General features: G+C 37.8%; 1 protein-coding gene across 3 annotated transcripts in view; it reads left to right on the plus strand.

Annotated features, from left to right (window-relative positions):
- POTEA (POTE ankyrin domain family member A (gene/pseudogene)) overlaps window positions 1-25,629 on the plus strand; it is a 72,806-nt gene that overhangs the window by 26,488 nt on the left and 20,689 nt on the right. For 2 of the 3 annotated variants that reach the window (NM_001005365.2, NM_001002920.1), the window contains 2 exons: window positions 23,022-23,052; window positions 23,330-23,471. The exons of the other annotated variant lie outside the window; for it this stretch is intronic. In NM_001005365.2, the coding sequence (NP_001005365.2) occupies window positions 23,022-23,052; window positions 23,330-23,471 (173 nt within the window). The remainder of the gene's footprint in view (window positions 1-23,021; window positions 23,053-23,329; window positions 23,472-25,629) is intronic. 3 annotated transcript variants of the gene reach the window in all.

Consider the following 25,629-nt stretch of genomic DNA (forward strand, 5'->3'; position numbering starts at 1 on the left):
TAGTGAACTTTTATTTTAGCTTCAGGGGTACACGTGCAGGTTTGTTACATAGGTAAACTGTATCATGGAGATTGGGGTTACAGATTATTTCATCAGTCAGATAATAAGAATGATACCCAATAGGTAGTTTTTTGGTCCTCTCCCTCCTGCCATGCTCCACCCTCAAGTAGGCCGCAGTTGTCTGTTGTTCTCCTCTTTGTGTCCATGAGTTCTCATTGTTTGGTTCTGACAAATGAGTGAGAATATGTGGCATTTGATTTTCTGTTCCTGCATTAGTTTGCTTAGGATAATGACCTCCAGCTCCATCTGTGTTGCTGCAGAGGAAATGGACTCACTGAAAAGGATATTTTCATACACTGTTGGTAAATACATTTTGAGTGTTAATTTAGTAGCATATTCACACACACACATATATAACAGTAAGGATATAAAATATATGTATGTTATGGATATTTGTATAGATATATTACATATATACTTATGTATAAGGACATTTATTATAGCATAATTATATCAAAAAGTTGGAGCTAGTCCAAATCCTTATCAATAGGAAATAGCTCAGAAAATAATATAGTATGCAATCAGTTTTTTAAAATGAAGTTAGATCTAGAGTGTACTGATTATTTCACAATTAACATGTATTTAAAGCATTTAGTTTGCTGACCCATCTTAAGACAATTTTGTTAGAATTCTTGTAGTATCTGCTGTGTTGCAAATGGAAGCTACATGCTATGTTGACACTGTACCTTGTTAGCAACAATATCGCTAGTTATTAAATTATGGTTGTCAGTGCCTGAGTGCTGAAATAATTGGACCCTCAACTGAACATTGCCAAAGGATTGCACATGGGGATCTGTATTTTATGTAAATATTTCAGTATATTGGATAAAACTTGTTTAAATACATCAAAGGATCTTTGATCTACTAAAACAGGAATTGGCCAGCTTTTTTCTGTAAAGAGCCAGTTGGTAAATATTTTAATCTTTGTGGACTATATGTACTTATTTTTTTGAGACAGGTTCTCACTCTGTTGCCCAGGCTGGAGTGCATTTGCGTGATCATGGCTCACTGCAGCCTCAACTTTCTGGGCTCTAGTGATCCTCCCACCTCAGTCTCTCTACTAGCTGGGACCACAGGTGTGCAATATCACACCCAGATGATTGACTCTATGGACTATAAAGTAAATAAGCATGGCTGTGTTTCAAGATACCTTACTTAAAAAAACAGGCAGTGGGCTGGAGTGGGCCCACAAGTGTTAATTTGCTGACCCTTGTGCTAAAAGGAAGGTGTTGCTAATGCAGTGAATCTTATTTGTAAGTGTCCTGCATGCATGACATTATCCTTCCTTTGAAAAAAGAATATATTTCAGTATTCACCTCACCATAGTTTTCAAGTGACTTCATATAATTTTTATATTGATGTAATTCATGTAATTATACTTCATAAAATTTTTAAAATTTCATTTATAAAATAAGATTATTTTCTGCATTTCTCCTATTTTATTCCTGTTAATAGGACTCAGTATTTTACTGTGATCAATTACTTTGTATATGTGATGAGTATCAACTGTCCTAGATTTCACTGATTTTTATCAAGCAAGAAATACTCCTCTTGAAACTTTTAGTATTCCTTGGTCTTTATTTTTATTCATTTATTTTTATTTTATTTTATTATTATTATACTTTAAGTTTTAGGGTACATGTGCACAATGTGCAGGTTAGTTACATATGTATACATGTGCCATGCTGGTGTGCTGCACACATTAACTCATCATTTAGCATTAGGTATATCTCCTAATGCTATCCCTCTCCCTTCCCCCCACCCCACAACAGTCCCCAGAGTGTGATGTTCCCCTTCCTGTGTCCATGTGTTCTCATTGTTCAATTCCCACCTATGAGTGAGAATATGCAGTGTTTGGCTTTTTGTTCTTGCGATAGTTTACTGAGAATGATGATTTCCAATTTCATCCATGTCCCTACAAAGGACATGAAATCATCCTTTTTTATGGCTGCATAGTATTCCATGGTGTATATGTGCCACATTTTCTTAATCCAGTCCATCATTGTTGGACATTTGGGTTGGTTTCAAGTCTTTGCTATTGTGAATAGTGCCGCAATAAACATACGTGTGCATGTGTCTTTATAGCAGCATGATTTATAATCCTTTGTGTATATACCCAGTAATGGGATGGCTGGGTCAAATGGTATTTCTAGTTCTAGATCCCTGAGGAATCACCATACTGACTTCCACAATGGTTGAACTAGTTTACAGTCCCACCAACAGTGTAAAAGTGTTCCTATTTCTCCACATCCTCTCCAGCACCTGTTGTTTCCTGACTTTTTAATGATTGCCATTCTAACTGGTGTGAGATGGTATCTCATTGTGGTTTTGATTTGCATTTCTCTGATGGCCAGTGATGGTGAACATTTTTTCATGTTTTTTGGCTGCATAAATGTCTTCTTTTGAGAAGTGTCTGTTCATGTCTTTTGCCCACTTTTTGATGGGGCTGTTTGTTTTTTTCTTGTAAATTTGTTTGAGTTCATTGTAGATTGTGGATATTAGCCCTTTGTCAGATGAGTAGGTTGTGAAAATTTTCTCCCATTTTGTAGGTTGCCTGTTCACTCTGATGGTAGTTTCTTTTGCTGTGCAGGAGCTCTTTAGTTTAATTAGATCCCATTTGTCAATTTTGTCTTTTGTTGCCATTGCTTTTGGTGTTTTAGACATGAAGTCCTTGCCCATGCCTATGTCCTGAATGGTAATGCCTAGGTTTTCTTCTAGGGTTTTTATGGTTTTAGGTCTAACGTTTAAGTCTTTAATCCATCTTGAATTAATTTTTGTATAAGGTGTAAGGAAGGGATCCAGTTTCAGCTTTCTACATGTGGCTAGCCAGTTTTCCCAGCACCATTTATTAAATAGGGAATCCTTTCCCTATTTCTTTTTTTTGTCAGGTTTGTCAAAGATCAGACAGTTGTAGGTATGCAGCATTATTTCTGAGGGCTCTGTTCTGTTCCATTGATCTATATCTCTGTTTTGGTACCAGTAGCAGGCTTAGGATTGACTTGGCGATGCGGGCTCTTTTTTGGTTCCATATGAACTTTAAAGTAGTTTTTTCCAATTCTGTGAAGAAAGTCATTGGTAGCTTGATGGGGATGGCATTGAATCTAAAAATTACCTTGGGCTGTATGGCCATTTTTATGATATTGATTCTTCCTACCCATGAGCATGGAATGTTCTTCCATTTCTTTGTATCCTCTTCTATTTCATTGAGCAGTGGTTTGTAGCTCTCCTCGAAGAGTTCCTTTACGTCCCTTGTAAGTTGGATTCCTAGGTATTTTATTCTCTTTGAAGCAATTGTGAATGGGAGTTCACTCATGATTTGGCTCTCTGTTTGTCTGTTATTGGTGTATGAGAATGCTTGTGATTTTTGTACATTGATTTTGTATCCTGAGACTTTGCTGAAGTTGCTTATCAGCTTAAGGAGATTTTGGGCTGAGACAATGGGGTTTTCTAGATATACAAACATGTCATCTGCAAACAGGGACAATTTGACTTCCTCTTTTCCTAATTGAGTACCCTTTATTTCCTTCTCCGGCCTAATTGCCCTGGCCAGAACTTCCAACACTATGTTGAATAGGAGTGGTGAGAGAGGGCATCCCTGTCTCGTGCCAGTTTTCAGAGGGAATGCTTCCAGTTTTTGCCCATTCATATGATATTTGCTGTGGGTTTTTCATAGATAGCTCTTATTATTTTGAGATACATCCTATCAATACCTAATTTATTGGGAGTTTTTGGCATGAAGGGTTGTTGAATTTTGTCAAAGGCCTTTTCTGCATCTATTGAGATAATGATGTGGTTTTTGTCTTTGGTTCTGTTTATATGCTGGATTACATTTATTGATTTGCGTGTATTGAACCAGCCTTGCATCCCAGGGATGAAGCCCACTTGAGCATGTTGGATAAGCTTTTTGATATGCTGCTGGATTCGGTTTGCCAGTATTTTGTTGAGGATTTTTGCATCAATGCTCATCAAGGATATTGGTCTAAAATTCTCTTTTTTTGTTGTGTCTCTGCCCGGCTTTGGTATCAGGATGATGCTGGCCTCATAAAATGAGTTATGGAGGATTCCCTCTTTTTCTATTGATTGGAATAATTTCAGAAGGAATGGTACCAGTTCCTCCTTGTACCTCTGGTAGAATTCGGCTGTGAATCCATCTGGTCCTGGACTTTTTTTTGTTGGTAAGCTGTTGATTAGTGCCACAAATTCAGAGACTGTTATTGGTCTATTCAGAGATTCAACTTCTTCCTGGTTTAGTGTTGGGAAGGTATATGTGTCAAGGAATTTATCCATTTTTCTAGATTTTCTAGTTTATTTGCGTAGAGGTGTTTGTAGTATTCTCTGATGGTAGTTTGTATTTCTGGGGGATCAGTGGTGATATCCCCTTTATCATTTTTTATTGCATCTATTTGATTCTTCTCTCTTTTCTTCTTTAATAGTCTTGTTAGCGGTCTATCAATTTTGTTGATCCTTTCAAAAACCAGCTCCTGGATTCATTAATTTTTTGAAGGGTTTTTTGTGTCTCTATTTCCTTCAGTTCTGCTCTGATTTTAGTTATTTCTTGCCTTCTGCTAGCTTTTGAATGTGTTTGCTCTTGCTTTTCTAGTTCTTTTAATTGTGATGTTAGGTTGTCAATTTTGGATCTTTCCTGCTTTCTCTTGTGGAAATTTTGTGCTATAAATTTCCCTCTACACACTGCTTTGAATGCGTCCCAGAGATTCTGGTATGTTGTGTCTTTGTTCTCGTTGGTTTCAAAGAACATCTTTATTTCTGCCTTCATTTCTTTATGTACCCAGTAGTCATTCAGAAGCAGGTTGTTCAGTTTCCATGTACTTGAGCGGTTTTGAGTGAGTTTCTTAATCCTGAGTTCTGGTTTGATTGCACTGTGGTCTGACAGACAGTTTGTTATAATTTCTGATCTTTTACATTTGCTGAGGAGAGCTTTACTTCCAAGTATGTGGTCAATTTTGGAATAGGTGTGGTGTGGTGCTGAAAAAAATGTATATTCTGTTGATTTGGGGTGGAGAGTTCTGTAGATGTCTATTAGGTCTGCTTGGTGCAGAGCTGAGTTCAATTCCTGGGTATCCTTGTTAACTTTCTGTCTCATTGATCTGTCTAATATTGACAGTGGGGTGTTAAAGTCTCCCATTATTATTGTGTGGGAGTCTATGTCTCTTTGTAGGTCACTCAGGACTTGCTTTATGAATCTGGGTGCTCCTGTATTGGGTGCATATATATTTAGGATAGTTAGCTCTTCCTGTTGAATTGATCCCTTTACCATTAAGTAATGGCCTTCTTTGTCTCTTTTGATCTTTGTTGGTTTAAAGTCTGTTTTATCTGAGACTAGGATTGCAACCCCTGCTTTTTTTTGTTTTTCATTTGCTTGGTAGATCTTCCTCCATCCCTTTATTTTGAGCTTATGTGTGTCTCTGCACATGAGATGGTTTTCCCGAATACAGCACACTGATGGGTCTTGACTCTTTATCCAATTTGCCAGTCTGTGTCTTTTAATTGGAGCATTTAGTCCATTTACATTTAAAGTTAATATTGTTATGTGTGAATTTGATCCTGTCATTATGATGTTAGCTGGTTATTTTGCTCATTATTTGATGCAGTTTCTTCCTAGTCTCGATGGTCTTTACATTTTGGCATGATTTTGCAGCGGCTGGTACCCGTTGTTCCTTTCCATGTGTAGTGCTTCCTTCAGGAGCTCCTTTAGGGCAGGCCTGGTGGTGACAAAATCTCTCAGCATTTGCTTGTCTGTAAAGTATTTTATTTCTCCTTTGCTTATGAAGCTTATTTTGGCTGGATATGAAATTCTGGGTTGAAAATTCTTTTCTTCAAGAATGTTGAATATTGGCCCCCACTCTCTTCTGGCTTGTAGAGTTTCTGCTGAGTCTCATGGGCTTCCCTTTGAGGGTAACCCGACCTTTCTCTCTGGCTGCCCTTAACATTTTTTTCTTCATTTCAACTTTGGTGAATCTGACAATTATGTGTCTTGGAGTTGCTCTTCTCGAGGAGTATCTTTGTGGCGTTTTCTGTATTTCCTGAATGTGAATGTTGGCCTGCCTTGCTAGATGGGGGAAGTTCTCCTGCATAATATCCTGCAGAGTGTTTTCCAACTTGGTTCCATTCTCCCCGTCACTTTCAGGTACACCAATCAGACATAGATTTGGTCTTTTCACATAGTCCCATATTTCTTGGAGGCTTTGTTCATTTCTTTTTATTCTTTTTTCTCTAAACTTCCCTTCTCACTTCATTTCATTCATTTCATTTTCCATCATTGATACCCTTTCTTCCAGTTGACTGCATCGGCTCCTGAGGCTTCTGCATTCTTCAGGTAGTTCTCGAGTCTTGGCTTTCAGCTCCATCAGCTCCTTTAAGTACTTCTCTGGATTGATTATTCTAGTTATCCATTCATGTAAATTTTTTTCAGAGTTTTCAACTTCTTTGCCTTTGGTTTGAATTTCCTCCCATAGCTTGGAGTAGTTTGATCATCTGAAGACTTCTTCTCTCAACTCGTCAAAGTCATTCTCCATCCAGCTTTGTTCCATTGCTGTTAAGGAACTGTGTTCCTTTAGAGGAGGAGAGGTGTTCTGCTTTTTAGAGTTTCCAGTTTTTCTGCTCTGTTTTTTCCCCATGTTTGTGGTTTTATCTCCTTTTGGTCTTTGATGATGGTGATGTACAGATGGGTTTTTGGTGTGGATGTCCTCTCTGTTTGTTAGTTTTCCTTCTAACAGACAGGACCCTCAGCTGCAGGTCTGTTGGAGTTTGCTAGAGGTCCACTCCAGACCCTATTTGTTTGTGTATCAGCAGCGGTGGCTGCAGAACAGCAGATTTTTGTGAACTGCGAATGCTGCTGTCTGATAGTTCCTCTGGAAGTTTTGTCTCAGAGGAGTACCCGGCCGTGTGAGGTGTCAGTCTGCCCCTACTGGGGGGTGCCTCCCAGTTAGGCTGCTCAGGGGTCGGGGTCAGGGACCCACTTGAGGAGGCAGTCTGCCCGTTGTCAAATCTCCAGCTGCATGCTGGGAGGACCAATGCTCTCTTCAAAGCTGTCAGACAGGTACATTTAAGTCTGCAGAGGTTACTGCTGTCTTTTTGTTTGTCTGTTCCCTGCCCCCAGAGGTGGAGCCTACAGAGGCAGGCAGGCCTCCTTGAGCTGTGGTGGGCTCCACGCAGTTCGAGCTTCCTGGCTGCTTTGTTTATGTAAGCAAGCCTGGGCAATGGTGGGTGCCCTTCCCCCAGCCTCACTGCCACCTTGCAGTTTGATCTCAGACTGCTGTGCTAGCAATCAGCGAGACTCTGTGGGTGTAGGACCCTCCGAGCCAGGTGGGGGAGATAATCTCCTGGAGCACCGTTTTTTAAGCCCCTTGGAAAAGCGCAGTATTCGGGTGGGAGTGACCCGATTTTCTTGGTGTCGTCTGTCACCCCTTTCTTTGACTAGGAAAAGGAACTCCTTGACCCCTTTTGCTTCCCAAGTGAGGCAATGCCTCACCCTGCTTCGGCTCACACATGTTGTGCTGCACCCACTGTCCTGCGCCCAGTGTCTGGCACTCTCTAGTTAGATGAACCTGGTACCGCAGATGGAAATGCAGAAATCACCCGTCTTCTGTGTCACTCATGCTGGGAGCTGTAGACCGGCGCTGTTCCTACTTGGCCATCTTGGCCTGGGACCCCCTTGGTCTTTATTTATAAGCATGAACAAAATGATAATCAGCTTATATAATCCAGAAATGTTCACGGGGTCTTTTAGTTGTATAATTTTTTTATTATTATACTTTAAGTTCTAGGGTACATGTTCACAACATGCAGGTTTGTTACATGGGTTATACATGTGCCATGTTGGTTTGCTGCCCACATTAACTCATCATTTACATTAGGCATTTCTCCTAAGGCTATCCCTCCCCCTGGGCCCCACACTCTGACAGGCCCCAGGGTGTGATGTTCCCCATGGTGTGTCCAAATGTTCTCATTGTTCAATTCCCACCTGTGAGTGAGAACGTGCGGTGTTTGGTTTTTTGTCCTTGTGATAGTTTACTGAGAATGATGGTTTCCAGCTTCATCCATGTCCCTGCAAAGGACATGAACTCATCCTTTTTCATGGTTGCATAGTATTCCATGGTGTACATGTGCCACATTTTCTTAATTCAGTCTATCATTGATGGATATTTGGATTGGTTCCAAGTCTCTGCTATTGTGAGTAGTGCCCCAATAAACATATGTGTGCATGTGTCTTTATAGCAGCATGATTTATAATCCTTTGGATATATACCCAGTAATGGGATGACTGAGTCAAATGGTATTTCTAGTTTTAGATCCTTGAGGAATCACCACACTGTCTTCGACGTGGTTGAACTAGTTTACACTCCCATCCACAGTATAAAAGTGTTCCTATTTCTCCACATCCTCTCCAGCACCTGTTGTTCCCTGACTTTTAAATGATCACCATTCTAACTGGTGTGAGATGGTATCTCATTGTGGTTTTAATTTGCATTTCTCTGATGACCAGTGATAGCATTTTTTCATGTGTCTGTTGGCTGCATAAATGTCTTCTTTTGAGAAGTGTCTGTTCATATCCTTCAGCCAATTGTTGATGTGATTGTTAGTTTTTTTCTTGTAAATTTGTTTGAGTTCTTTGTAGATTCTTGATATTAGCCTTTTGTCAGATGGGTAGATTGCAAAAATTTTCTCCCATTCTGTAGGTTGCCTGTTCACTCTGATGGTAGTTTCTTTTACTGTGCAGAAGCTCTTCAGTTTAACTAGATCCCATTTTTCAATTTTGGCTTTTGTTGCCATTGCTTTTGGTGTTTTAGTCATGAAGTTGTTGCCTATGCCTACATCCTGAGTAGTATTGCCTAGGTTTTCTTCTACGATTTTTATAGTTTTAGGTCTAACATTTAAGTCTTTAATCAATTTTGAATTAATTTTTGTATAAAGTCTAAGGAAGGGATCCAGTTTCAGCTTTCTACATAAGCTAGCCAGTTTTCTCAGCACCATTTATTAAATAGGGAATCCTTTCCCCGTTTCTTGTGTTTTTTTTTTTTTTTTTGAGAGGGAGTCTCGATCTATCACCCAGGCTGGAGTGCAGTGGCGTGATCTCGGCTCACTGCAACCTCTGCCTCCTGGGTTCACATGACTCTCCTGCCTTAGCCTCCCAAGTAGCTGGGACTACAGGCGCTTGCCACTACGCCCGGCTAATTTTTTGTATTTTTTAGTAGAGATGGGGTTTCACCATGTTAGCCAGGATGGTCTCAATCTCCTGACCTCGTGATCTGCGCAACTTGGCCTCCGAAAGTGCTGGGATTACAGACAAGAGCCACCACACCTGGCCCCCCATTTCTTGTTTTTGCCAGGTTTGTCAAAGATCAGATAGTTGTAGATGTGTGGTATTATTTATGAGGGCTCTGTTCTGTTCCATTGGTCTGTATCTTTGTTTGGTACCAGTACCATGCTGTTTTGGTTACTGTAGCCTTGTAGTATAGTTTGAAGTTAGGTAGCATGATGCTTCCAGCTTTGTTCTTTTGGCTGAGGATTGACTTGGCAATGCAGGCTCTTTTTTGGTTCCATATGAACTTTAAAGTAGTTTTTCCAGTTCTGTGAAGAAAATCATTGGTAGCTTGGTGGGGATGGCATTGAATCTATAAATTACCTTGGGCAGTATGGCCATTTTCACGATATTGATTCTTCCTATCCATGAGCATGGAATGTTCTTCCATTTGTTTGTATCCTCTTTTATTTCATTGAGCAGTGGTTTGTAGTTCTCCTCGAAGAGTTCCTTTACGTCCCTTGTAAGTTGGATTCCTAGGTATTTTATTCTCTTTGAAGCAATTGTGAATGGGAGTTCACTCATGATTTGGTTCTCCGTTTGCCTGTTATTGGTGTATAAGAATGCTTGTGATTTTTGCGCATTGATTTTGTATCCTGAGACTTTGCTGAAGTTGCTTATCAGCTTAAGGAGATTTTGGGCTGAGACGATGGGGTTTTCTAGACATACAGTCATGTCATCTTCAAACAGGGACAATTTGACTTTCTCTTTTCCTAATTGAATGCCTTTTATTTCCTTCTCCTGCCTGATTGCCCTGGCCAGAACTTCCAACACTACGTTGAATAGGAGTGGTGAGAGAGGGCATCCCTGTCTTGTGCCAGTTTTCAAAGGGAATGCTTCCAGTTTTTGCCCATTCAGTATGATATTGGCTGTGGATTTGTCATAAATAGCTCTTATTATTTTGAAATACATCCTATCAATACCTAATTTATTGAGAGTTTTTAGCATGAAGGGCTGTTGAATGTTGTCGAAGGCCCTTTCTGCATCTATTGAGTTAATCATGTGGTTTTTGTCTTTGGTTCTGTTTATATGCTGGATTACATTTATTGATTTGCATATGTTGAGCCAGCCTTGCATCCCAGGGATGAAGCCCACTTGAGCATGGTGGATAAGCTTTTTGATGTGTTGCTGCATTCGGTTTGCCAGTATTTTATTGAGGATTTTGCATCGATGTTCATCAAGGATATTGGTCTAAAATTCTCTGTTTTTGTTGTGTCTGTGGCAGGCTTTGGTATCAGGATGATGCTGACCTCATAAAATGAGTTAGGGAGGATTCCCTCTTTTTCTATTGTTTGGAATAGTTTCAGAAGGAATGGTGCCAGCTCCTTCTTGTACCTCTAGTAGAATTTGGCTGTGAATCTATCTGGTCTTTGACTTTTTTTGGTTTGAAAGCTATTAATTATTGCCTCAATTTCAGAGCCTATTATTGGTCTATTCAGAGATTCAACTTCTTCCTGGTTTAGACTTGGGAGGGTATATGTGTCCAGGAATTTATCAATTTCTTCTAGATTTTCTAGTTTACTTGCATAGAGATGTTTATAATATTCTCTGATGGTAGTTTGTATTTCTGTGGGATCGGTGGTGATATCCCCTTTATCATTTTTTATTGCATCTATTTGATTCTTCTCTCTTTTCTTCTGTATTATTCTTGCTTGCAGTCTATCAATTTTGTTGATCTTTTCAAAAAACCAGCTCCTGGATTCTTTGATTTTTTGAAGGGCTTTTTATGTTTCTATCTCCTTCAGTTCTGCTCTGACCTTAGCTATTTCTTGCCTTCTGTTAGCTTTTGAATTTGTTTGCTCTTGCCTCTCTAGATCTTTTAATTGTAGTGTTAGGGTGTCAGTTTTAGATCTTTCCTGCTTTCTCTTGTGGGTACTTAGTGCTATAAATTTCCCTCTATACACTGCTTTAAATGTGTCCCAGATATTTTGGTACATCATGTCTTTGTTCTCATTGGTTTCAAAGAATATCTTTATTTCAGCCTTCATTTCATTATTTATCCAGTAGTTATTTGGGAGCAGGTTGTTCAGTTTCCATGTAGTTAAGTGGTTTTGAGTGAGTTTCTTTATCCCGAGTCCTAATTTGATTGCACTGTGGTCTGAGAGACCGTTTGTTGTGATTTCTGTTCTTTTACATTTGCTGAGGAGTGCTTTACTTACAACTATGTGGTCAATTTTGGAAAAAGTGCAATGTGGTGCTGAGAATGTATATTCTGTTGAGTTGGGGTGGAGAGTTCTGTAGATGTCTATTAGGTCTGCTTGGTGCAGAGCTGAGTTCAAGTCCTAGATATCCTTTTTAAACTTCTGTCTTGTTGAGCTTTCTAATATTGACAGTGGGGTGTTAAATTCTCCCATTATTATTGTGTGGGATTCTAAGTCTCTTTGTAGGCCTTTGAGGACTTGGTTTATGAATCTGGGTGCTCCTGTATTGGGTGTATATATATTTAGGATAGTTAGCTCTTCTTGTTGAATTGATCCCTTTACCATTAGGTAATGGCCTTCTTTGTCTCTTTTGAGCTTTGTTGATTTAAAGTCTGTTTTATCAGAGAGTAGAATTGCAACCTCTGCTTTTTTTTCCTTTCCATTTGCTTGGTAGATCTTCCTCCATCCCTTTATTTTGAGCCTATGTGTGTCTCTGAATGTGAGATGGGTCTCCTGAATAGAGCACACTGATGGGTCTTGAATCTTTATCCAATTTGCCAGTCTGTGTCTTTTAATTGGAGCATTTAGCCCATTACATTTAAGATTGGTATTGTTTTGTGTGAATTTGATTCTGTCATTATGATGTTAGCTGGTTATTTTGCCCGTTAGTTGATGCAGTTTCTTCCTGGCATCTATGATCTTTACAATTTGGCATGTTTTTGCAGTGGCTGGTACTGGTTGTTACTTTCCATGTTTAGTGCTTCATTCAGGAGCTCTTGTAAGGCAGGCCTGGTGGTGACAAAATCTCTCAGCATTTGCTTGCCTGTAAAGTGTTTTATTTCTCCTTCACTTATGAAGCTTAGTTTGGCTGGATATGAAATTCTGGGTTGAAAATTTTTTTCTTTAAGAATGTTGATACCTTACATCTACAACCATCTGATCTTTGACAAGCCTGGTAAAAACAAGAAATGGGGAAAGGATTCCCTGTTTAATAAGTGGTGCTGGAAAAACTGGCTATCCATATGTAGAAAGCTGAAACTGGATCCCTTCTTTACACCTTATACTAAAATTACTTCAAGATGGATTAAAGACTTACATGTTAAATCTGAAACTTTAAAAACCCCAGAAGAAAACCTAGGCAATACCATTCAGGACATAGGCATGGATAAGGACTTCATGTTTAAACACCAAAGGCAATGGCAACAAAAACCAAAATTGACAAATGGGATCTAATTAAACTAAAGAGCTTCTGCACAGCAAAAGAAACTACCATGAGACTTAACAGGCAACCTACAGAATGGGAGAAAATTTTTGCAATCCACTCTTTTGACAAAGGGCTAATATTCAGAATCTACAAAGAACTCAAACAAATTTACAAGAAAAAAACAACCCCATCAACAAATGGGCAAAGGATATGAACAGACACTTCTCAAAAGAAGACATTTATGCAGCCCACAAACTCATGAAAAAATGCTCATCATCACTGGCCATCAGAGAAATGCAAATCAAAAGCATAATGTGATACCACCTCACACCAGTTAGAATGGTGATCATTAAAAAGTCAGGAAACAACAGGTGCTGGAGAGGATGTGGAGAAATAGGAACACTTTTACACTGTTGGGAGTGTAAACTAGTTCAACCATTGTGAAAGACAGTGTGGCAATTCCTCAAGGGTCTAGAACTAGAAATACCATTGGACCCAGCCATCCCATTACTGGGTATATACCCAAAGGATTATAAATCATGCTGCTATAAAGACACATGCACACGTATGTTTATTGTAGCTCTATTCAGAATAGCAAAGACTTGGAACCAACCCAAATGTCCATCAATGATAGACTGGATTAAGAAAATGTGGCACATATGCGCCATGGAATACTATGCAACCATTAAAAATGATGAGTTGATGTCCTTTGTAGGGACATGGATGAAGCTGGAAACCCTCATTCTCAGCAAACTATCGCAAGGACAAAAAAACAGACACCGCATGTTCTCACTCATAGGTGGGAATTGAACAATGAGAACAGTTGGACACAGGAAGGGGAACATCATACACTGGGGCGTTTTGTGGAGTGGGGGGAGGGGGGATAGCATTAGGAGATATACTTAATGTAAGTGATGAGTTAATGTGTGCAGCACACCAACATGGCACATGTATACATACATAACAAACGTGCACGTTGTGCACATGTGCCCTAGAACTTAAAAAAAATGTTGAATATTGGCCCCCACTCTCTTCTGGCTTGTAGAGTCTCCCAAGAGATCTGCTGTTAGTCTGATGGGCTTCCCTTTGTGGGTAACCTGACCTTTCTCTCTGGTTGCCCTTAACATTTTTTCCTTCATTTTAACCTTGGTGAATTTCACAATTATGTGTCTTGGGGTTGCTCTTCTTGAGGAGTAGCTTTGTGGTGTTCTCTGTATTTCCCAAATTTTAATGTTGGCCTGCCTTGCTAGGTTGGGGAAGTTCCCCTGGATAATGTCCTGAAGAGTATTTTCCTAGTTGGTTCCATCCTTCCTTGTCACTTTCAGGTACACCAATCAAACGTAGATTTGTTCTTTTCACATAGTCCCATATTTCTTGGAGGCTTTGTTCATTTCTTTTTACTCTTTTTTCTCTAAACTTGTCTTCGTTCTTTATTTCATTAATTTGATCTTCAATCACTGATACCCTTTCTTCCACTTTAGCAAATCAGCTATTGAAGCTTGTGCTTTCATCATGTAGTTCTCATGCCATGGTTTTCAGCTCCATCAGGTCATTTAAGGTCTTTTCTACATTGTTTATTCTAGTTAGCCATTCATCTAATCTTTTTTCAAGGTTCCTTGCAATGGGTTCGAACATCTTCTTTTAGCTTGGAGGTTTGTTATTACCGACCTTCTGAAGCCTACTTCTGTCAGCTCATCAAAGTCATTCTCCAGCCAGCTTTGTTCCGTTGCTGGTGAAGAGCTGCGATCCTTTGGAGGGAAGAGGGGCTCTGGTTTTTAGAATTTTCAGATTTTCTGCTCTGGTTTCTCCCCATCTTTGTAGTTTTATATACCTTTGGCCTTTGATGTCGGTGGCCAGAAATGGGGTTTTGGTGTGGATGTCCTTTTAGTTGATGTTGATGTTATTCCTTTCTGTTTGTTAGTTTTCCTTCTAACAGTCAGGTCCCTCAGCTGCAGGTCTGTTGGAGTTTGCTGGAGGTCCACTCCAGAGCTTGTTTGCCTGCATATCACCAGTGGAGGCTCAGTTGGAAATGCAGAAATCACCCATCTTCTGTGTCAATCATGCTGGGAGCTGCAGATGGGAGCTCTTCCTATTTGGCCATCTTGGAACGTAATATTTTAGTTCTATAATTTTAAGAATATAATACCTTGGTCTGGCATGTTTAAATGCCATTTTGTATAATTTTTATAACCTTTAAAATATACAATTGTTACTTAAAATTTGAAAACTGCACCATTTATATAAAATTATAAACTACTATTTCTTATCTATCACTAGTCCATGACTGTGGAAGAAAATTACATCATTCACTGTCATGACTCCTAAATATGATGTCCTTAAAAGAACTGTCTGCACTCACAAACTGAAATTTTCTTTCCATTCATTCTTGATCTTATTTCAGTAGTCTTCAATTTCAGCACTCCTCCAAAGTTGTTTTTCTCAAGATTATCACAACTTTTATTGTGTAATAAATCTAGGCATTTTTTCTTACATCTCATTTTATTTAATTTATCAGCAGTATTTGACCCAGTGGAGGATATCTCCTTCATAACAGCATCTTCACTTGGTTTTCAAGACCTCACTCCCTCAGGCTTTTTCTCCTGCCTTCGTAGTCCATTCATCATGGTCTGTTTTTGTTGCTCCTCCTCATCTTTCACCTTTTGCACATTGTTGTTTCCCAGGGCTCAGTCCCTAATCTTCTTTCTCATGACTTTTTTTTTTTTTTGAGGTGGAGTCTCACTCTGTCACCCATGCTAGAGTGCAGTGGTGAAACCTCAGCTCATTGCAACCTGTCTTGTGGGTTCAAGCAATTCTGCTGCTTAAACCTCCTGAGTAGCTGGAATTACAGGCACCTGCCACCATGCCTGGCTAATTTTTGTCTTTTTAGTAGCAGCATGGTTTCTCCATGTTGGCCAGGCTGTTCTCAAACTCCGGATCTCAGATGATCTGCCCACCTCAGCCTCCCAAAGTGCTGGGATTAAGGTATGAGCCAGCACCCCAGCCCCTCATGACTTTTTCTAATGTGTATATGCTAGTGATTTCCAAATGTATGTCTCTAGCTCAGACCTCTCACCTTAATTCCAGATCTCTATATCAACCTGCCTACTTGACATCTCTTTTTGGTTGGCTATTGGGCATCACACACTTGCCAGATCCAAAATTGGGCTACTGGTGCCCTTCCTGAAATCGACACCTCATGCAATCTTTCCTAATTTGGTTAGTGGCCACTCTTCCAGTTGCTCTACCAAAAACCTTGGTGTCATTCTTGACTCATCTTTCTTTCTCTCTTATACCTCACATCCAATCTATCAGTAAATCTTGTCAGGTCTACTGGAAGAATATATCCAGAAGCCAGTCATATCTTTTATATCTGAGCCACCATCATCTGTAGTCTAGATGAGTGTCATAGACTGGTAATGGATAGTCCTGGTTTTTAAAAAATTTCCTTTAAATCTATTCTTAACTCAGTGGCAAAACATAAGTCGAATTGTGTCATTCCTCTGCCCCAACCCTTCTGATTGCCTTCCATTTCACTCTGAGTATGTGACAAAATTCCTCCTAATAACTAAAAGGCAGTACACCATCTAGCATGTTTTCTCTCCTGCTTAAACTTCTATTACTTCTCTCCTTTGCTCTGCTTCAGCCACACTGAACTTCTCGCTATTCCTTATCTATCTCTCTTGCTGAACGACTCCAGGTACACCTCTATACTTGGCAGTTCCTTGTGTTCTTCAGTTCTTTACTTAAAAATCCCCTTTCTCAGCAGGGACCTTTCTGGCCATCCCAACTTTTCCACCACCCTTCCCCTCAAACACATAATCATTTCATTTTCCTGCTTTAGTTTTTCTCCTCTAACATACTGTATATTTTGCCTTATCTGTCTATTGTTGTGTGTTTATCTCATTCTCATGAATAGGATTTTTATTGTTCACTACCATATCCTCAGTGCCTAGAAAAAGGCCTAGCATATCGGATGTATCTACCTAACAAATACTCGTGGGTATATTACATTTGATTGATTCTCACTTAAAAAATGTTTGACAAGGTTCACTCTAACAACTTAGCCTGGTAATTATATGCATAAATTCTTTTGGCTCTTTATAATAAGCTACATTCTTAATATTTTTTCATTTAGGGAGAAAATCCCAATATTGTGGTTATTCACCATTTATTATTTTACTGGTAATCATGATAATTTTAATTATGGTAAAATGCATCAGAGGAATTGCAAACTTTACTGGTATTTTATCTGAAAAATATTAGGGTGGTAAATTTAATGGACTTACAAATTCTTTCCAACGGATTATGAAACTTCAGTATTTGAAATAAAAAAACAGAGTTGGAATTTTTTGCTTGCTGTATAAGAGGTGTACTGATCAGGCACTGTCTGCTCTGATGGAGCAGCTGCTGCTGCTTGGCTGTCTTTCAGAAGCAAGCTGCTCACATTGATATTGGTGGGCAAGCAAGGGCAGCGGTCATTGATCGATTGACTAGATTTAGAACTTGCCCTGGGTGGCTTCTTGTTATCATGGCTACAGGTCAGTTCTTTTCTAAGTTTGTGCTGTTTAAAGGTTGCCTTCCATTAACTATTTTCAAAATGAAACTATTTTATATTCCAGAATTGCATACTTAATTTTAAAGTTTTTTCAAGATGAATTGGTTAATAATAGCTCTCAGGAAGACCTTTTTTTTTTTTTTTTTTTGCTACATAGTCTTGTCTTAACCAGAAGAGTTCTCTGTATAATTTATTTCTTAAAAATAATGGTTTTGTTTTTGTTTTCAGTGTTTTTAGAAGCTTTTGCTCAAGTCCTAACATAAACTCCAATGGGAGATTTTAATCTCTTTGTCAGTTCATGGATGTGTATGATAGTGATATTCTCTCTTTTTAAATTCCTTTTCTTGTTCACTTTCTTCTTTGTACAATAATAGTGATATTCTTGTGCATGTTTACCTCATTAAAAAGTAATTACAATTTTCTGCTGGCAAATCCAGCTTTTTATATTTTGACTAAATAGGAGGCTAAAAGTGAAGAACATTTACCAGATTGTTTTATTTTCAAACAAAATCATAACTAATCAAAAATTGCTATTTTTGAAATATAAATAATGACATTTAGATATTTTAAAAGTAAGGATAGCCCCCGATGTAGGTTGGCTTTGTGTCCCCACCCAAATCTCATGTCAAATTGTGATTCCCAGGTGTTGTGAGAAAGACCTGGTGGGAGGTGATTAGATCATAGGGTTGGTTTCCCCCATGCTGTTCTCATGATAGTGAATGAGTTTTCACAAGAGCTGATGGTTTCTTAAAGGGCTCTATCCCCTTCACTTCTCTCTCTCCTGCCACCTTATGAAGAAGGTGTCTGCTTCCCCTTCACCTTACCATGATTGTAAGTTTTCTGAGGCCTCCCCAGCCATGTGTAACTGTGAATCAATTAAGCTTCTTTCCTTTATGAATTACCCCATCTCAGATATTTCTTTGTAGCAGTGTGAAAATGGACTAATACAGAGAATTGGTACCAGGGATAGTGGGGTATTGTTAAAAAGATAATGTGAAAAGGTGGAAGTGACTTTGGAACTGAGTAACAGAGGTTTTAACAGTTTGGAGGGCTCAAAAGAAGACAGGAAGATGTGGGAAAGTTTGGAACTTCCTACAGACTTGTTGAATAGTTTTTTTTACCAAAATGCTGATAGTGATATGGCCAATGAAGTCCAGGCTGAGGTGATCTTAGGTGGAGATAAGGAACTTGTTGGGGACTGGAACAAAGGTGACTCTTGATATGCTTTAGCAAAGAGACTGACAGCATTTTGCCCCTGCACTAGCAATCTGTAAAACTTTGAACTTGAGAGAGATGATTTAGGCTATCTGGTAGAAGAAATTTCTAAGCAGCAAGGCATTCAAGAGGTGACCTGGTTGATTCTGAAAGCATTCAGTTTTATGCATTCACAAAGAGATGGTTTTAAGCTGGGGCTTATGTTTAAAAGGGAAGCAGAGCATAAATTTGGAAAATTTGTAGCCTGACCATTTGGTAGAAAAGAGAAACAACACATTTTCTATGGACGAATGCAAGTTGGCTGCAGAAATTTGCATAAATAACGAGGAGCGGAATGTTAATTGCCATGAAATGGAGAAAGTGTCTTTAGGGCATGACAGAGATCTTCGTGGCAGCCACTCGCATCACAGGCCCAGAGTCCTGGAAGGAAAAAATGGTTTCATAGGTTTGGGTCCAGGGCCCTGGTACTGTGTGCAGCCTCAGGACTTGCTGCCCTGCATTCAGCCACTACAGGTCCAACTGTGGCTAAAAGGGACCAAGGAGAAACTTAGCCTTTATGAATTACCCAGTCTTCAGTATTTCTTTATAGCAGTGTGAAAATGGACTAATACACCCTCCCTGAAGACATTTTCCTGATTTCGTCTTTCATGTTTTATGTGCCACAGCTACTTTTGAAATTGTATTTAAAGGTAAACATTATTATATTGAATAATAGAAACAGAAATATAGCCCAAATCTAATTGTGATTTTCATGTTTAACAGTCATTTCTCATATTCAGTGGACTCCAGCTTTTTAATATAGCATTCAAGTGTAGTGTAGATTCATCTCCTATTCTTAGCTTCCAAGTATTTTACACTTTTCCTTTCAAGTTCTTAGTAAGCATCTAGACTTCATGTGCTTAATCTTTGTGCTCACATTCTGTTCTCTAACTGGAAGGATTTTCTCTCACTGTTTTTCCCTAGTGGGCCCTTCTTATATTTTGCCTCTTCTCTAAAGCCTTCCTTGTGCTAAAATATAACTTTTTAATATATCAACTCTTACAGAACACAATGTATTATAATTGTATATTACCTTGTTTTTGAAGCAGGGGATGCACATTTCCTTTTATGTTGTTTGTAGTTCTAAACATTTAAAAAATTAATCAGTGCAATGAGATGGAAAACAGTTGGAGTTTTACAAAAATTGTGGTTTTTTTGTTCATTGTCAATAGAGTTATTAGGAAACATTGGCTTTTTATAGAGTTTTTAAAGTAGAGCTTTTGCCTTGCATATGAAGAAAGAAACATGAAAATAAAAAACGGACCTCAAAATAATCTGTGATTACACCCATATTTGAGAAGGCCAATTTACTAACTCATGGTCTGCAACAAGTAAATGATGATAGCAGTTTAAGTGAAATAGATGGTAAAGAAGGTAAAATTTATAAGTCCTTTATAAGAAATATCTGGGAACACCCCCTCAAAAAGTGGGCAAAGGATATGTGCAGACACATCTCAAAAGAGGACATTTACGTGGCCAAGAAACATGAAGAAAAGCTCATCATCACTGATCATTAGAAAAATGCACATCAAAGCCACAATGAGGTACCATCTCATGCCAGTTAGAATGGTGATCATTAAAAAGTCAGGAAACAACAGATGCTGGTGAGCCTGTGGAGAAACAGGAACACTTTTACACTGTTGGTGGGAGTGTAAATTGGTTCAACCATTGTGGAAGACAGTGTGGTGATTCCTCAAGGATCTAGAACCAGAAATACCATTTGACCCAGCAATCCCATTAGTGGGTATATACCCAAAGGATTATAAATCATGCTACTATAAAGACACATGCACACGTAAGTTTATTGCGGTATTATTTACAATAGCAAAGACTTGTAACCAACCCAAATATCCATCAATGATAGACTGGATAAAAAAAGTGACAAATATAATCCATGGAATACTGTTCAGCCATAAAAAAGAATGAGTTCATGTCCTTTGCAGGGACATGGATGAAGTGAGAAACTATCATTCTCAGCAAACTAACATGGGAACAGAAAACCAAACACTGCATATTCTCACTCACAAGTGGGAGTTGGACAATAAGAGCACATGGACATAGGGAGGGGAACATCACACACTGGGGCCTGCCTGGGGGTGAGGGAGCAAGGGGAGGGAGAGCATTAGGACAAATACCTAGTGCATGCAGGACTTAAAACCTAGATGACAGGTTGATAGGTGAAGCAAATGACCATGGCACATGTATACCTTTGTAACAAACCTGCACGTTCTGCACATGTATCCCAGAACTTAAGGTTAAAAAAATTTTAAAGTCAAAAAAAAAAAAAAAAAGAAAGAACAAAAAAGAAAGAAAAGAAAATAAATCTCTAGGAAAGAACGTTAACACCAATTACTTTTCCTGGAACTAGAATAATATAGTCTCCTCAAACTGGAAATACTCAACTGTATCAGTGCTGTTGAAAGATTGATTATAATAAGGATTAGTGACTTTGACTAGGAGAAGTTTCAACAAATGATAGCCATGGAAATCTGTAGTGGATGAATGTAGACAACTCTTGAGAGAAAATTTGCTGGGAAAGGCAATATAGAAATGGGCAATAATTAAAAAAGAGTGTGGGATTTGAGGGAGTTTTCTCTCTTTGTGTTTCAAAACAGAAATTTTTAGAGTTTATTTTTTACTGTTGGGAATGATCCATAAGAGAAGAACATGGTTATGAAAGGTAATTTTGTTTGCTTGGTTGCATGTCTAAGCATTAGACAGCTTGATTCATTATCTTTTATGGATTTTTAGCAAACTAATTGCCCTTAGAACTTCTATTCATGTATAGTTTTATGATTAGAGTTGTTTTTTCAGAATTGGTTCAGAAGTGTAACATGTTAGTGTAACTGTACATGCCGATGATGACCTAAAACTTAAACTGTCATACACAGATTTTTAAAAAGAATTATAATAAACATTCACACACTTAGGCCATGCTGAATAGAATTTAAATGTTCCTTCATAATTGCACATCTTGCACTACCTTTGACAGTAGCATCATGAATAGCCATGATTTGCTTAGGTACTTACTCTAAAATATCAGGTGTATCAACTTTATGATTGTTTAGATTCTGGGGAGTAGGGAAGGATTTTGTTCATGAAGTTGAGAAAAGCAAACTATTGACAATCTATTGCAGATTATTACTTCAGGATTATAAACTCCTAAAGCATCAAAGCCATATTTTCCTGGGCCAGCAATGTTATCAGCATATATTGTATGCTCAATGAGTATTTGTTGAATGCATGAATAAACAGTTGAAGAAATAAATGAATGACATTGATAAATTTCTTTTAAAAACTAATTTTTAGTTTTTTGAAAGTAGTAGGTTTCCAAACTTGCCTCTGTATAAAGTCTTTATTTTTTAAAAAAGTGCAGGATTCATGTTCTCACTCATAGGTGGGAATTGAACAATGAGAACACATGGACACAGGAAGGGGAATATCACATACCAGGGACTGTTGTGGGGTGGGGGGAGGGGGGAGGGATAGCATTAGGAGATATACCTAATGCTAAATGATGAGTTAATGGGTGCAGCACACCAACATGGCACATGTATACATATGTAACAAACCTGCACGTTATGCACATGTACCCTAAACTTAAAGTATGTATATATAAAAAAAAGACACTGCAATTTTCAAAAGGTGAAAAAAAAGTGCAGGATTCAGAAATTATTAGTTATAGCCAAAAACAGAATGATAATCAGAAATTTTTAGTTATAGCCAAAAACAGAATGATAATATGGATTTGTCTGCTATCATATCTCTTAAAAACACTTGAATATAAATATTACCTTCACAGCATATTGCAAAACACATGTTTTGGAGGGAGAATTCTTGGATTTCAATGCTGTGTCAATTACTGACCAGCTCTATGGGCTGGGAAAATTTATATGGCCTTTCTGGGCCTAGTTTCTTTCTTTATAGAAGCCCTAATATTACCTACCTCAAAGAATTGTTATGATGATTAAAATGAGCTTGACACATGCACAGTGCTTAGAATGATGCATAGTGTCTGCATAATAAGTCCTGAAAAAGCTAATATTATCATTTAAAAAAGGGTTCCCCTCACATAAGAACATAAATAATGTTTTCCAAATAGGTTTCAGTGCCAGTAAAAGCTTGTTTTTATTGAAAAGGACAGCAATGAGAAGTCCTGGTATATGTCTTTCTATCACATAATATCAGTAACATGTTTTTCCTTTTGCCTTGACTGTCAGAAAGCTTGATCTAAATTCAATTCTTTGTAATGATATTATTATTATCATATTTTCTTTCTCCCTTAATGTTACTCTTTCTGTTTATAGTTTAATTCCCCATGTGGAAAATAGTTATATTTACATTACCTGTTAAAAAATGACCTGAACACTTAATGGATAGAATAAATAACTTATAAATGCCGAGATTTTATATAATAAAATAATAGATTTGGACATTATTTGTATTTTATGTATTTGTTTGTCTAAGAAGAATTGTTTCTTTTTTCAGGCCTGAAAAGAAATCTAATGAAAAGAACAAGGTATTGTAATAAGTAAATTATCTGAAACATTATTGTTAAAAAAACACATTATAAAAGGTAAAGTGAGAACCTTTTTTAATAAAGACAATTAGTTAGAATAAAAGGGCTTAATAACAAGTACCCATTGATAACGGTACCCTTTTAAGAAAAATCTGTTGTTTTAAGAAGCACCTGTGGTTTTGCTCATATAAAAATATGAATAAATACCACTTCTGTACAACTGGTATATTCTATGAATATTTTGAGGACATTTGAGGCAGTATTATTTATCTTACAGGTCAAAAGCCAAATACATTCAGTGGATAACCTTGATGACATAACATGGCCATCAGAAATAGCGTCAGAGGATTATGATTTGCTTTTCTCTAATTATGAGACTTTTACATTGCTCATTGAACAACTCAAAATGGATTTTAACGGTAGGACCATTGCATAAGTAGAAGGCCTTTTAATGTATCCCACAGTAATATTCACACACATTGCTTAGTATTGCACCACAGAGCACTGACGTGTGATAGGGATGATCATCTCAGAAACGTGTTTGACATTAAAATAGACTGAGAAATAATGTATATTGTATACCAAAGAGCTATGATAACTCCACTGTACCTTTCTCAGTGTGAAGGGCAGTCTCAGCCTTTTTATTGACTCTGCTTCTCCCAGATCGGGTTACCATTCTCTCCCACTCAGAATACTGCAGTAACCTTAGAACTATTTTTCCTGCTACCCCACTTCCTGAGACCATGGTCTACTCTGAAACTATAATTATTAATTTAAAAAAATTCAGATCTGATGTTGTCTCTTCCTTGTAACTCAGCATACCACTTGCCATTGCTATTAGGTTAAGATCTGAATATTCTAGCTCTCTCTTGCATCATTTAATACCCTTTTTTCCCTGCCCTAGCCATTGTCTTAGATGTTTATTCCTGCAATTTATAGCTTTAGTGAGGTATAACTGATATATGATAGGCTGAATGTACGTAAAATATACGATTTGATAAGTTTTGGCATACGTATGCACATGTGAAACCATCACCATAATCAAGAGCAGTAACATGCCCATCATCCATAAAAATCTCTTCCTGTCCGTTTGTATTCTCCTTATTAAGAAACTACTAAATGTTTAAGTATTTATACTGTATTCCATTCCCATCAGCAGTATATGACAATTCTCATTGTGCAATGTCATCATGAGCTCTTAGTATTGCTGTTTATTAGTTTTTACTGTTAGCCATTCCAATGGGTGCATATTGTGCGTGTCACTGTGGTGTGAATATGCATTGACCTAAGGACTAAGAATGTTGAACATCTTCCCGTGTGCTGATTTGCCACCTGTATATCTTCTTTAGTGAACTGTCTTTTCCAATCTGGATAGCTTATAAAGATTTAAAAATTAGATAGTTTTTATTCTTATTTGCTGAGTTTTAAGAGTTTTTTAAAATAAATTCTGGATATCATTCCATTATTATGCTTTTTCAGAAAGATTTTTTCCCAGTTTGTAGCTTGACTTTTTGTTTTCTTAATAATATATTTTAAAGAGCTGAAGTTTTTCGTTTTGATGAAATGTGATATATCTGTTCGTTTAATTACAGACTTTGCTTTTTGTCTCATGCCTAAAAAAAGTCTTTGTCCAGCACAGGGTCCCAGAGATTTTTCTCCTCTGCTTTCTTGAAGAATTTTTATAGTTTTAGGTTTTATATTTAGATCTGTGATCCACATTGTGTACATTTTTGCATATGAGTGAGGTGTGATGTAAGTTCATTGTATGGATGTGGATATCTATCTGTTCCAGCAGCATATGTTGAAAATGCTGTCTTTTCTCCATACATTGCTATTGTCCCTTTGTGAAAAGTAAGCTGGCATATGTGTGTGTGTCTATTTCTGGACCATTTGTTGTATTCCATCAATCTGCGTATTCTTCTAGAGTTATACTGATGAACCAATCATAATTTGAAAATCAATTTAATACCCCAATAAACCCATTGTACAGTTGAAAAATTCTAAGTAGAACCATCTTAAACTGGAGACTATCTCTATCTGGCTTTCTTCATGTAGGTCTAGCATCCCTAATCCAAAATCCAAAATCAGAAATGCTGCAAAATCCAAAACTTTTTGAGTGCCAAAATGATGCCACAAGTAGAAAATTTCAAACTAGACATCAGGTACACAAACTTTCATCTGCAAATTTACTAAAAGTGTTCCATAAAATTACCTTTAAGCCCTGCATATAAGGTGCATGTAACATAAGTGTATTTTGTGTTTAGAGTTCGATTCCATTTTTGAGATATCTCATTATATATGTGCAAATATTCCAAAACCCAAAACACTTTTGGTACCATGCACTTGTAGAGATATTCCACCCATATCACACTGTTTCATTACTGTAAATTTATACTAAATCTTGACACCAGCCCTTCAGTTTTCTTCTTTTTTAAGGGTTATTTTGATTATGTTGGATCTTTTGCATTTGCACTTGAGTTTTAGAATCAGATTGTTAATTTTTTTTTGTAGTTCAAATTTAACTTTTTAAAAAATTTTATCATTATTATACTTTAAGTTTTAGGGTACATGTGCACA

Source organism: Homo sapiens, chromosome 8 (genome assembly GCF_000001405.40).
Source record: "Homo sapiens chromosome 8, GRCh38.p14 Primary Assembly".
NCBI lineage: Eukaryota > Metazoa > Chordata > Mammalia > Primates > Hominidae > Homo > Homo sapiens.